Source organism: Homo sapiens, chromosome 13 (assembly GCF_000001405.40).
Source record: "Homo sapiens chromosome 13, GRCh38.p14 Primary Assembly".
NCBI classification, from domain to species: Eukaryota; Metazoa; Chordata; class Mammalia; order Primates; family Hominidae; genus Homo; species Homo sapiens.
Window position 1 is genome coordinate 46,749,536 of NC_000013.11, and position 13,540 is coordinate 46,763,075.

The 13,540-nt window shown below is 41.1% G+C and overlaps 1 protein-coding gene and 1 long non-coding RNA gene across 3 annotated transcripts in view; both read left to right on the top strand.

Annotated features, from left to right (window-relative positions):
- Positions 1 to 3,506, top strand: part of LRCH1 (leucine rich repeats and calponin homology domain containing 1) — a 199,872-nt gene extending 196,366 nt beyond the window's left edge. For both annotated transcript variants that reach the window (XM_017020483.2, NM_001164213.2), the window contains one exon: positions 1,005 to 3,506. In XM_017020483.2, the coding sequence (XP_016875972.1) occupies positions 1,005 to 1,115 (111 nt within the window). In that variant the 3' untranslated portion in view covers positions 1,116 to 3,506. The remainder of the gene's footprint in view (positions 1 to 1,004) is intronic.
- On the top strand, positions 10,623 to 12,097 carry LOC107984563 (uncharacterized). The gene is made up of 3 exons (XR_001749983.2): positions 10,623 to 10,713; positions 11,302 to 11,399; positions 11,966 to 12,097. It is a non-coding gene; the product is annotated as an uncharacterized LOC107984563 (long non-coding RNA).
- The last annotated feature ends 1,443 nt before the right edge of the window (positions 12,098 to 13,540 follow it).

Consider the following 13,540-nt stretch of genomic DNA (forward strand, 5'->3'; position numbering starts at 1 on the left):
TAGCTTGACTTAGCCATTCCACAATGTATACTTTTATCAAAATATCATGCTGGACACCATAAATAAATACAATTTTTTTTTTCCTGTCAAAGAAAAGAAAAAAGAAAAAGTAAACATTGGGCTGTGGAAAACACACTGTCATCAAGTAGATAAAAGAATATTTGCCGTGGTGTCTTTTTCCAGCCAAGGAGACACACCCTGGAAGAAGATTCTCTTGAATGATATCAGACCAGGGTGAAATAACAAAGGTGGAAAATTATTTCATTGTGTTATTCTGTAAACTGGTTTGTGGAGCATGAAAGGTTCTGCACACAAGGAGGGACTCACGCTTACTGTTTTTCTTAAATAGTATGTCCTGGACATTTCCCAAGAGCAAAAATGCAGCATGAGAGAGTAGCAGGACATATGTGTCTTTGACAGTTTTATGAAAGAGTCTTGAAAGGGAGGCTATTGAGGGCTGTAGTTATAATTACCAATTTATAAAGACTGTTCATAAACCATGAAGAAAGGCTGCCAGTCCACCCACTTGCCTGCGTTCCAGAGGTCACAGGAAGTAAAATGAACTCAATGAAGTTCTATGGTCAGTATAACAATGTGTGGTCGGTACAAATGAATATTTGAGTGCCTTTAAAATGTGTCAGGGGCTATTTGCAGTTTTGCTTTATAAAAATAGAAGCTATTATATTCTTGGTGTATGCTCTCTGACTGACTCTGTAGCTCAGTTATTTAGTGTAAAACTTTCTTAAATATTTAGATCTGCAGACTTCATGGTGATTAGGAGCCTTTTTGAAACAAACTGCATGTGTGAAAAATCATTATTTTCTCTGCAAACATAGAAAAGGTCTTTGCAGTAGGTTGAAAGCAAAGGAAGGAGCTTGGTGTAGGTGATCAAACAGGCATACTAGAGTATTCAACCTAACTTTGATGTCATCAACGATGTAGCAGGATTTTACAATGAGAGTACAATCATCTAAAAATTGATGTTTTATTCTTTTTCCTTTTAGGAAAAGCTATGTCTCCCCCACCACATCCTTGAAGAAAAAGGCCTGGTCAAAGTGGGCATTACCATTCAAGCATTACTAGACATCACCGTAACGAAGGCTCTGTTCACATGAAACTACCCCTTCTCCATTGGGGGCTCAGACTCTGCTCTCATCCAGGATCCTGAACTCTGCTCCAGGCACCTGTTCAACCCTCTCTCCCACCCACTGCCTGTCACTTCACTGACTCCAGTTACATTGAAACAATTTTCAGTCTAAGGGAGGATTTTCTACCTTTCAGAGCTGACCTCCGACTTTAAGACTTGACAGGTATTTATCTTGAAACCAGAGAGGGAGCTGGAGGAAAAAAAAACTGAGCAGCACATCAATGCCTTTTCCACCCTCCTTCATCCTTTCCACACTCACCGACTGCCATTACCAAAACGCCAAGCACAACCGTTTTGCAGCAAGACGCATTCGTTTTATTAAAACCAAACTCGTTATGTATTTAGTGGGGGGAGGGGGGCACAATCAGGTTTTTCACCACCAAATTTTTCGAGAGGTTTCTTGAGACCATTGCCTTTTAAAAAACTATTTTCGACATACAAAATATTTATATAAATATTATTTATTAGTGAGTTGTTATTCATCCTTTGGATGCAAATTGTAAATTAGGAAACTATTTTATTACTGCTTTTTTGTGGTTAAACACTTTATTTTAATATAAATGTTGAGTTATTTTCTATCCTCTTTGGTGTGCGGTAGTTTAGGTCTCAGTAATGTTTCTGGTATATATGATTCCAAAAAAAAGCGAAAAACAGGTGCTTTTAGGACACAACTTTTCTGGGGAGGCAATATTGACACTTTGGTTTGTGGAACGTTGGTCTTATTTATATTTCTGCATTCCATCCAGTTTCCTACATTCCAGCAGCCCTCTGTCCCCCAATATAATGAACTGACTAAAATCAAGAGAGCACCCCAAAGTTATTTGTAAATAGCTGTGATGGAAAAAAAAAAGACATATTAAACTTGAAGCTAAAATGTGAACAATTATTTTTTGGATTCATACTTCTTTTGCTATGCACAAAACATTCACGTTTTAACACAAAGAAATAATAAGTGTTAGCATCGTGTGTCTTGAAGTATACTTTTGCACTGTAACTTGGGTTACGTTAAAGAGAGCTTAGCACCAAAGGTAGATAATGAAGAAATGGCATAGGAAAGTGGAGATGATAAAAAGTTGATTGTTGAACCAAAAAGGGTTTGAAGGGAAGCTTCGACTGAGTATCAGAAATTACTTAAGGCACATAGGACCTGAATCAGGAAACCAGCACTTCTTACAACTGCCAGTTTTAAAAGAGGAAATGATTCTGAGATGTGCTCATTTTATTTTAATTTGGTGGTTGGTGGTTTTCCAAGTAGTCTGTAAAATCCTGCAAGATTCACAGTCTCTGGTGTGAAACCTCAGAAGTGAGTCGTTGTGAGCCTGTGGGCAGCACCACCAAGGCAGGCTAAGGGGAGGGTGCAGTAAGTGGAGTTTGTGAGGCTGAGTGGCTGAGGAGGGAGCAAGTGCAACAAAATAGGGCTAGAGAAGAACCAGCCAAGGAGTGGAACCCATGCTGCTCTCAGAGATTCACGGAACACGGCAGCCTTCTGCAGGCAGTTCCATGCATGTGCACTCACGCTGCAATCACAGATGTCCCAGTAATTAACCTTTCTAAGTCTTGTGAATGCTGACTGCACTTTCACCTCCTCGAAAAGCCATTGGAAGTTTTTAGAGCAGCAGCAGCCACAGTTTGTAAGACAAATGTAGAGGGGGACGCAAAAGAAAAGACACCACCAGGAGGAGGATTCAGTGTGCAGTCAGCACAGACCAACATCAACCAAGGCAATGGCTGCCCTCCACTCTTGGGAAGATGGGGGGAGGTTTCTGAAAACGGAAATTTGGATTGGCAGCTAGCAGTTATTTCCTATCAGATGTACTGTGCACTTTAACCTAACTTAAAATGTATTTTAATATTTTTCTGTACTGCACAAATACCTGTTTTGTCAAATAGCATAATGATGTAAAGAAACATTTTGGACAAAGAGTGTATACAATTTAAGCAACATTCAAAGGTTGACTATATAAGTAGGAGTTTAGCCTGCTGCACCTTCACGGGCATTCAGAATGCGGGGTCCTGAAATATTTTCTTACGTGTATATATGGTAGCATGAAGCTTTGTAATCATTGTTTTGAGAGATTTTTTTTTCAAAATTAAAGTATTTCTTTTGATATTAATTTTTATTATTTTCTTGAAGTTGGTTGTGTAATGTAAATGGCTTCAGTCTTCTGTAAAATTGCTTTTTTTTCTTTTAAATGCAGTCCTTCTATGGCTAAGACGTCTTCAAGATCCTTGTACACTGTTTATATGTGCAATAAAATGCATGGCCAGCTGACAGTATCGTCAGTGGACAGAATGTATATAGTGCAAATATCCTTCCTTTTATTATTTAACAGCCATTAAAATCTTGGATTTGTACAAACCACTTTGTGATTGACTTACCCATCAAAAAGGTTGACCCCGGTCACACACACACACACACACACACACACACACATCATAGGGTGTCATTGCTGAAACAGATTGTAGCAATCATGTATATTTATGTATATGTGCACATAATATGTATATGTTATATGTATGTATGGCTGGGTGTGTATAAAATTTGGAGAAAGAATATATAGTAATGCATCATGTGACAACAGGGATATATCTGAGAAACGTGTCATTAGGTGATTTCGTCATTGTGCAAACATCATAGAGTATATTTACACACTTAGTATAGCCGACCACACACCTAGGCTATGTGGCCTATTGCTCCCAGGACGCAAACCTGCACAGCATGATACTATACTGAATAATGTAGGCTGTTGTAACACAATGGTAAGTATTTGTGTATCTAAACATAGTTAAACATTGGAAAGGTACAGTAAAAATATGGTATTATATAATCTTCGGAGACCACTGTTGTATATTTAGTTCATCATTGACCAAAATGTTGTTATGTGTACATGACTGTATATTCATGTATAGCTATCAGAAGAATGACTCTATCCATCTATCTGTCGATAACACACACACACACACACACACACACACACCCCTCAGGATACTCTTTTTTTCTCCCAAACTAAAACTTATAGCGTAACATAACAGGAGTAACAAATTTGCTATGATGGATTTGGAGTTCAGGTGAAAGCATGGATTCAGGACCCCTACTTGTTTTTTGGGCATATTTGAGAACACTTAAGATTTCTTGGCCCATGTTGTGAAAACCACAGAATCTGGGCCTCCCTCCTCAACTGTGGTATCTGACACCCAGAGAATGAAATGGTTGCCTTGATTACACCACTAGATCTGGGCCAGTCTTGTTTTCCTCACAGGGCTAGCCTACCTTTGGTAGACAGCAGCTGCTTTGAGAAATTCAAGTGAATATAGTAACATCATTTCCACGTTCTCACCCCACCCCACCCCACATAAAATACACACAGACCCGAAACTGCTAGCCTGAGCAGGGCCTTCAGGGAGCAGTATCAGGACCTCTGCATTTAAGATCCTCATTTACTGAGTCAAGACACTCTGTACATGGCCCATGGTGTTTTCCTTTGAGGCGCTGCAACTGTGCCAAATCCCAAAATCTTTTAGTTGTCCCTCTGCATATTACAGAAGTCCAGCTCTTCACAGACACTTTCCATCTTAAACTTGCTGGAGCAACAGGGAAACGCGTAATTTATTGAGTAGCTACTGTGGGTCGAGTGTTGTATCTCAGCTGTGTGCCCCATTAGAACAAGGCTGCTTGTCTGTTTTGTTCTTTGCTGAATCGCCAATGCCTAGAACAGTGCAGCAGTGTCTACTGAAGAGGTGAAATAAACTTTACACACATTAGCTCAAAAACTTACATAACCCTGTAAGGAAGAGATTTGTAGTGGACACCAAGGGACTGTTCACCTAACACCACATACTCCTAGGAGTAGGAACTGCTCCTGCCTCATATACCACAAAGATTTGTGGCCCATACATAGCACTGCCCACCTGGCTATGGTTCATCCATTCAGGAGCTGCACCTTCCTCACAATTGACTTGCAAGTCTCTTCTTTGGGATTTTAATTCTTTTCCTGGTGACCGAAGACAGAAGACATAAAACCTACAAAAGATCTAGGGAGAAACTGGCCTACAGAAAGACAGAGGCACAAGAGACAGCAAAAAAAACCCTGAAGTTTGGGTCCAGTAAGAAAGAAATCCTGTATTTCTGAAGCCCAGGTAGTTAAATCTTTCATGAGTACTTCCAAGAGGCTACAACTTTTGCATAAAATCAGTTTCAGCTGGGCTTCTCTCAGCTCTAATTAAGAATGCAAACTAATGAGTAGAAGCTGAGACTCAGTTGTTCAGGTAATCTGTTCAAGGTCACAGCAGGTAAGAAAGAGTCAGATAGAGGCTCAGCTAGGTCAGGTCTGTACCCTCACTGAAGAGAAGGGCTTCCCAGCAGAGTTGACTCCATTGAAGTTTCTAAAGTTAAAAAAAATTCCTGGGCAATTATTAGAATGTTTAAACCTAGAAAAGCAAGCATAGTCACATGCTAAAACCTGATCAACTGAGTCTTACCTGGACTAGTCTGAATGCTAAGTCACATCAAGGCCAAACCACAAAGAGCAGGATAAAAGGGATTTACTGAAGAAGGCTTTAATTTCGTTGCCATTTCTCTCCTTGAATTTAATTCAATATTACTATGTTGTTGTTGTTTCATTTTGGAATTTTCTCCCTGTTTATCAAAGTGATACATGGTTTTTTTTTTAATGTAATAATTTGTTTTTATTTTTTTATTATACTTTAAGTTTCAGGGTACATGTGCACAACGTGCAGGTGTGTTACATATGTATACATGTGCCATGTTGGTGTGCTGCACCCACTAAGTTATCATTTAACATTAGGTATATCTCCTAATGCTATCCCTCCCCCCATCCCCCCACCCCACAACAGGCCCCAGTGTGTGATGTTCCCCTTCCTGTGTCCATGTGTTCTCATTGTTCAGTTCCCACCTATGAGTGGGAACATGTGGTGTTTGGTTTTTTGTCCTCGCAATAGTTTGCTGAGAATGATGGTTTCCAGCTTCATCCATGTCCCTACAGAGGACATGAACTCATCATTTTTTATGGCTGCATAGTATTCCATGGTGTATATGTGCCACATTTTCTTAATCCAGTCTATCGTTGTTGGACATTTGGGTTGGTTCCAAGTCTTTGCTATTGTGAATAGTGCCGCAATAAACATACGTGCGCATGTGTCTTTATAGCAGCATGTTTTATAATCCTTTGGGTATATATTCAGTAATGGGATGGCTGGGTCAAATGGTATTTCTAGTTCTAGATCCCTGAGGAATCGCCACACTGACTTCTACAATGGTTGAACTAGTTTACAGTCCCACCAACAGTGTAAAAGTGTTCCTATTTCTCCACATCCTCTCCAGCACTTGTTGTTTCCTGACTTTTTAATGACTGCCATTCTAACTGGTGTGAGATGGTATCTCATTGTCGTTTTGATTTGCATTTCTCTGATGGCCAGTGATGATGAGCATTTTTTCATGTGTCTTTTGGCTGCATAAATGTCTTCTTTTGAGAAGTGTCTGTTCATATCCTTCACCCACTTTTTGATGGGGTTGTTTGTTTTTTTCTTGTAAATTTGTTTGAGTTCATTGTAGATTCTGCATATTAGCCCTTTGTCAGATGAGTAGATTGCAAAAATTTTCTCCCATTCTGTAGGTTGCCTGTTCACTCTGATGGTAGTTTCTTTTGCTGTGCAGAAGCTCTTTAGTTTAATTAGATCCCATTTGTCAATTTTGGCTTTTGTTGCCATTGCTTTTGGTGTTTTAGACATGAAGTCCTTGCCCATGCCGATGTCCTGAATGGTAATGCCTAGGTTTTCTTCTAGGGTTTTTTATGGTTTTAGGTCCAACATTTAAGTCTTTAATCCATCTGGAATTAATTTTTGTATAAGGCGTAAGGAAGGGATCCAGTTTCAGCTTTCTACATATGGCTAGCCAGTTTTCCCAGCACTATTTATTAAATAGGGAATCCTTTGACACATGCATAATATAGAAGCTTTGGCAGGTATAAAAGTAGTTGGGGAAAATGATCCAGAATTCCACCTTATAGGTAATGATTAAACCTTTGGGATATTTTCTTTGAGACATCTTATACATTTTTACATATTAAAACTTTACATATTGACTTTTTTTCTTGTTAATGTTAGATTTTATGCATTCCCTGCACCCCCTGATCCCCCACTGGGTAGTATTGTTTACTATAGGGAAAGGTGGAGTTCCCTGGACAGGCACTGACAGAATATTTTAGAGGCTTCCTTTACAAGTATACAGACCTAAAATAAAGACATGGGCCCTTAGGTCTTTGAGGGGCACTGGGAGCCAGCAGGGGGGTGAGGAGGTACTGCAGGAAAGAGAAGATGGCCAATAGGGGCTGTGTTCCTAAACCAGCTCCACAGGGAGTGACTGAAGCCCCGCCATGCAGAAAGCTCTGGGAAATGGCACAGAATGTCTCATACCGCAGAGGTATCCCAGCCAAGCTCCCAAGAGAGAACTGACGTATTTACACACACACAAAGAAAACTTCCCTCAACAACACGCCTAGAAATGTGTAATAAAATAAACACATACTTAGTTTAATGCTTTGTTTATCATAAGAAAATTAGGGAACTCCCTACAGTCTCTAAAGAGGAAGCTAAAACTGCAGATAAAGACAATTCTAAAAGCAAGGACAGATTACCTACAGGGGAAAAAAGTACTGTAGCAGATCTCTCAGCAGTACAATCAGAAGCCAATCAATGATAATCTCTTCAAAGTGCTGAGAGAGGCTGGGAGTGATGGCTCACGCCTGTAATCCCAGCACTTTGGGAGGCCAAGGCAGGTGGACCACTCGAGCTCAGGAGTTCGAGACTAGCCTGGCCAACATGGTGAAACCCTGTCTCTACTAAAAATACAAAAATTAGCCGGGTGTGGTGGCGTGCACCTGTAATCCCAGCTACTTGGGAGGCTGAGGAAAGAGATTCACTTGAACCCCGGAGCAGGAGGTTGCAGTGAGCTGACATCGTGCCACTGCACTCAAGCCTGGGTGATACAGTGAGACTCAGTCTCAAAAGACAGAAAAGAAAGAGAAAGAAAGAAAAAGAAAAGAATGAAAGAGAGAGAGAGAGAAAGAAGAGAGGGACAGGGAGGAAGGGAGGAAGGAAGGGGAAAGAAGGAAAAAGAAAAAAGGAAGGAAGAAAAGAAAGAGAAGAAAGAAAAGGAAGACAGGAAGAAAGAAAAAGAAGAAAAGAAAGAAAGGAAGGAAGAAAGAACTGAGAGAAAATAGCTTAATATTTTCAGACAAACAAAAACGTAATTCACTATCAACACACTTTCACTGAATGATGTATTTCAGGGAGAAGGAAGGTCTAACCGCCCCCCCCACAAAAAAAAAACAGTGGCCAAAAGATAAACATGTAACTATGTGTGCATATCCAAACAAACATTGGCTGTACGTTAATGACATTAATGGCTAATTTAGGGTAGGAGTTGCTGAAAAGCAAAACAAAACAAAAATAGAAAGAAAATGCTGGCCAGTACTACATACAAGATGAAAAGGCTTGATCTCAGTTAAAATATTTCAGTTTCTTGCTATTTTGGAGGAGGGTAGATGCATTGTTGCATTTTCAATCATGTTAAATGTAAATGTTAAAACTTTAATGAAAAGACAAGAGTGTCTATCACTTTCAGATCAGTAAAGAGAAGAATATAAAGTTAGAAAGTCCCTTCCAAAAGTAAGGAAGGATGTAGACTGGGGAGAAGAAGCAGAAGGAACAGAGTAAAGGAAGGGACCCAAATAACAGAGCAGAAATAAACTCAGATACATCAGCAAGCATGATAAATAGCAAGAAACTAGATAGCTGAAAGGCAGATTGGATTTCCAAGAAAAGCAACTATATATTTACAGACACAACGAGATATAAGGGCATAGACTGAAAGTAAAAAGACAGAAAGTGATGCCACACACTAATTTCTGTTTATATATGAATAATAAGAAAGCCCAGCAAACACTTGAGAAAGACTGTCTAAATAAGTAGGCTGGAAATCTGTGTCAGTACAAACCCAGGGCTAAGACAGCTGTGTCCTACCTGTAGATCTTTCTTTTCAGAAGTACGTGTGTTTATGGGCAGAGGATGCTGTCAGGCAGGTCTGGAGCTGAGGATCGCTGCGTGAAGCACAGCGTCATCGAGAATGCAAGACAGTCATCATCTGGATGAAGGTAAAGTGACATTTACTGACAAGGTGAGAGAGGCGATGACACCAAAGTCATGGCAGGCAGTTACCTATAGAAAATCCATCTGACCATTATGCTCTGTGCTTTTTAATGCTGGTTGCAAAGATAAATTGGGTCAGCAACACCCATGATAAGAAGTCACTGAGCATTTAAAGGCAGTGAGCAACATATTGGTACTTGTGAGTCATAAAATGGGGCAAGGTGGGGATGAGACTGGGGAGGAATAGCGGATAGGCTGCCGCTTTCCAATGTGACTAGGAATGCCAAAGTAAATAAAATGGGGTACTTGGCCAATAAACTCTCCTAACAACTTGCTATAGGTTAGATATGGTTTGTTTGGTTCTACCAAGTTTCATGTTGAAATTTCATCCCAGCGCTGGAGGTGGAGCATAGTGGGAGGTGTTTGGATCATGGGAGTGGGTTTCTCATGAATGGCTTGGTGCCATTCTGCCAGGAGTGAGTTCTCACTCTTAGTTCCTGTCACAATTGGTTGTTGAAAAGAGGCTGGCACCTTCCCCCTCTCTCTTGCTTTCACTCTTGGCATGTGATCTCTGCACACAGGCTCCCCTTCACCTTCCACCATAAGTGGAAGCAGCTTGAAGCCCTCACCAGCAGCAGATGCTGACATCATGCTTCATGTAGAACCCCGAGCCAAGTAAACCTCCTTTCTTTATAAATCACCCAGCCTCAGGTATTCCTTTATAACAATGCACACAGACTAAGACACAACTATCGCTTTTCTCTGAGAAAAAAAGGCCAGGCACAGTTTCTCATGCTTATAATCCCAGCACTTTGGGAGACTGAGGGTGATGGATCACTTGAGCCTAGGAGTTTGAGACCAGCCTGAGCAACATGGCAAAACCCCTCCTCTACAAAAACAAACAAACAAAACATACAAAAATTAGCAGGGGCATGGTGGCTCGTGCTGTAGTCCCAGATAGCTGGTGACTACAGCAAGACTGTCTCCAAAAAAAAAAAAAAAAAAAAAAAAAAAATTTGCTGTCCTCTAAGTTGATTTCCACATAGACATCTGCTACAGTCACAAAAGCCAGAGGAAGGGGAAGGGGAGAAGACATGTCTACTGCCTTGGAAGACTCCACACAGCCTCTAGTTAGACTGAATGTGTAGGTGGTGAGGTAACAGAACTCCTTGCCACATAATTTTATTGCTTAACTGGGCAGAACTCTGCTTGAATATTGACTTTGTGCCGTTGGCTTCTTTTCCTGCTTCCTGCTTCAGCTCTTCCAAAGTGTTGTCTCAAATCTCGTTCAGTCTGTCCCCAGCTTGCCTCTTAATTTACAAGGAAAATGAGGGCCTCAGCAGTGAAGTGTCAACTTATTTCCTGTCTTGGAGGAGTAGATGGCACTTCTCCCTCCCAAGGTTAGATGCCAACTCCACAGCCTTGGGAGATTTTATGTTATTTGTTCTCTCTCTCTCTCTTTGTCTCTTGATCTCCTCCTCCACCCTCTCCTCTCCACCTATAGTTTAATTATTCAGCCACAAATTCAAACATTACCAGGCTATAAGAAAGATACTTTTCTTGACTTCATCTTTTCCCTCAAAATACTGTCTAGTTTCTCCTCTCCCTGTTAAGTTCTTTAAAGAGTATTCTATAAGCAATGCTGGAGTGTAAACTTAGAAAGAATAGAGGTCTTGGTTTTGTTTACTACCATATCCTCAAGGCTTAGAACATGGCCTGATATATAATAGGTGCTTGATGAATATTTGTTGAATAAATGAATGGACAAATGCCTTCATTTCTTCTTCTAACCATACCACTTCATTGAAAATACTTTTTGGTCATGGGTCCCACATCTCAGTTGCCAGATCCAATGGCCTCTTTTCAGTCCTTGTTCTATTTGACCTTCCTGTGGCATATGAGATCATTGAAAACTTGCTTCTTGAAAGCCAGTTCTCTCTTAGTACAATTTTTATCTCAATGTTTTTATTTTTCCATCTTCTTCATAGGCTTCTGTTTCTGTGCCCAACCCCTGCCCTCCTGGAAATGAAATGCTTGGCACTCTTCCATCCATGCTGAAGATCTCTGGTGGTGTCCACCAGCCTAGGTAACTTATAACTCTGTATATCTTCACAATGCTAGGTCCATTCTGGGTATCTTCACTTGGATGTCCTATGGGTCCTGCAAATATGTTTAAAATTGACCTCCCTCTGCACCTCCCCAAACTCCTTCTTTATATGCGTTTCCCGGTTCAGTGATTTCATCATCTTCCCAGCCTCCCAAGCTAGACACTGCAGGATGACCACTGATGTGTTCCTGTCCTTTTCAGTCTGTCACTAAGCCCCGCAGATCCTCCCTCAGAAACATCTCTCAGCCCCAGCCTCTCCTCTTTCTCCCTGCTACCTTAGCGCCTGCCCTGATCAGCTCACCCTGGGTAAGTGGTCAATGGCTCATTTGTCACCTTGTCTCCCTCCTCTTCTTCCTCCCTTCTCTGCTGCTACAATAATATTTAGAAAAAGCAAGTCTTATCATGTCTCTTCCCTACTGGAAACATATTCAGCACTTTACTATTACTCACACAATTGATTTTGGTGCTATGCTTGCCCTTCCCAGACTGTTTCCGTCCTACTGCTAACACCCTCTGCTGCAGCCACTCCAGTCTCCTCTTTCCAGGTGCTCCCATGTCTTTGTTCCCTGTGCTACGCCTGCTCCTTGGAATACCCGCTCACCTCTTCTTGACTTTATGAAGTGCTACTGAGCCTTCAAGACTTACGGACAATGTCTCCTTTTTGGTGAGTTTTTTCCCCATCCCCTCCAGATTATTTCTTTCACCTTGGCACCCCTGAAAAAATAATCTGTGTCTGCTTTATGTTCATTTCTCAATAAACCTCTTTTATCGAGCTCGTATTAGACAAATAATAATTTCAATGGGGAAAGAGCATGAAAAGACCCCACAATAGTTCATTTTTCTTACAGGAATCTAAATAAGGGAAGTCATGGATATAAGTGATGAGGAAAACTAAATACAATACCCAATGCTTATCGAGTGGTGTGATGGTTGATTTTAGGTGTTAACTTGACTCGATTAAGGGAGGCCCAGATAACTGGTAAAGCATAATTTCTGGGTGTGTCTGTGAGGCTGCCTCCAGGAGGAGACTGGCATTTGGGTCAGTGAACTGAGTAAACAAAACCTGCCCTCACCAATGAGGGCGGGCACCACCCAATCGGCCAAGGGCTCAGATAGAACAGAAAGGCAGAGGAAAGGTGAATTCTCTGTTTCTCCTGAAGCTGGGGCACTGGCTTCTCCTGTTCTCCTGAACTGCAGGTTCTCCAGCCCTCTGCTAGAACTAGGATAGAAGGAGCGCCAACATAACATCCTTTTACACACATAAGTAAAAGAGAGAAAATGACAATAGGAACTACATGACAATTGGACCCCAAGACTTGCACCTGCAGTCCCCCAGGTTCCCAGTCTCCGGCGTCAGACTGAGAGTGACACCACTGGCTTCCCTGCTTCTCAGGCCTTCAGACTTGGATTGAGCCACACTACCAGCTCCTCTGGTTCTCCAGCTCTCAGATGGCATATCGTGGAACTCCTCAGCCTCCATAATCACATGAGCCAATCTCTCTAACAAATCCCCTGTCATCCATCTCTCTCTCTATATATATCCTATTGATCTTGTTTCTCTGGAGAACCCTGACTAATATGAGTGGCTACTACCTAATTGGCACTGTTCAGGAGGTGTACAAGTAGCAATGCCTGTACATCTTACAAGAACCCTGTGAGATAACATCTACAATCATCCCCATCTCACAGGGAGGTCAGTTGTTCAAGGTCCCATGAATACTAAGTGGCGTAGTTGGGATTCAACTCCTGGAGTTTGTCTTAGAACCCACACTTTTAACGATTATGCTATAACATCTTCCTCTATTTACCAAGTCACTGACCAAATATCTAATAATTAAAAAAAGATGAGTAAATAGCTCAAGGCTTTACTTGGGTTGTTTCATTTGATCCTCTATGACCCTAGGATGTAGGTCCTATTGTCATTATCTCTCTTTTACTTATGTGTGTAAACGATGTTATGGTTATAGCAGAGGTCCCAAAATAATGGGCGCTCTGTTCCACCACCTTCCAAAAACAAGGTGCTTGTTCATCGCAAAGAGGATGCAAATCCCACTTCTGTCCAACAGGCTCTATGAAGAATACAAGAAGAGGTGAGGAGGCCAGAAACTTTCAGAGAAAGA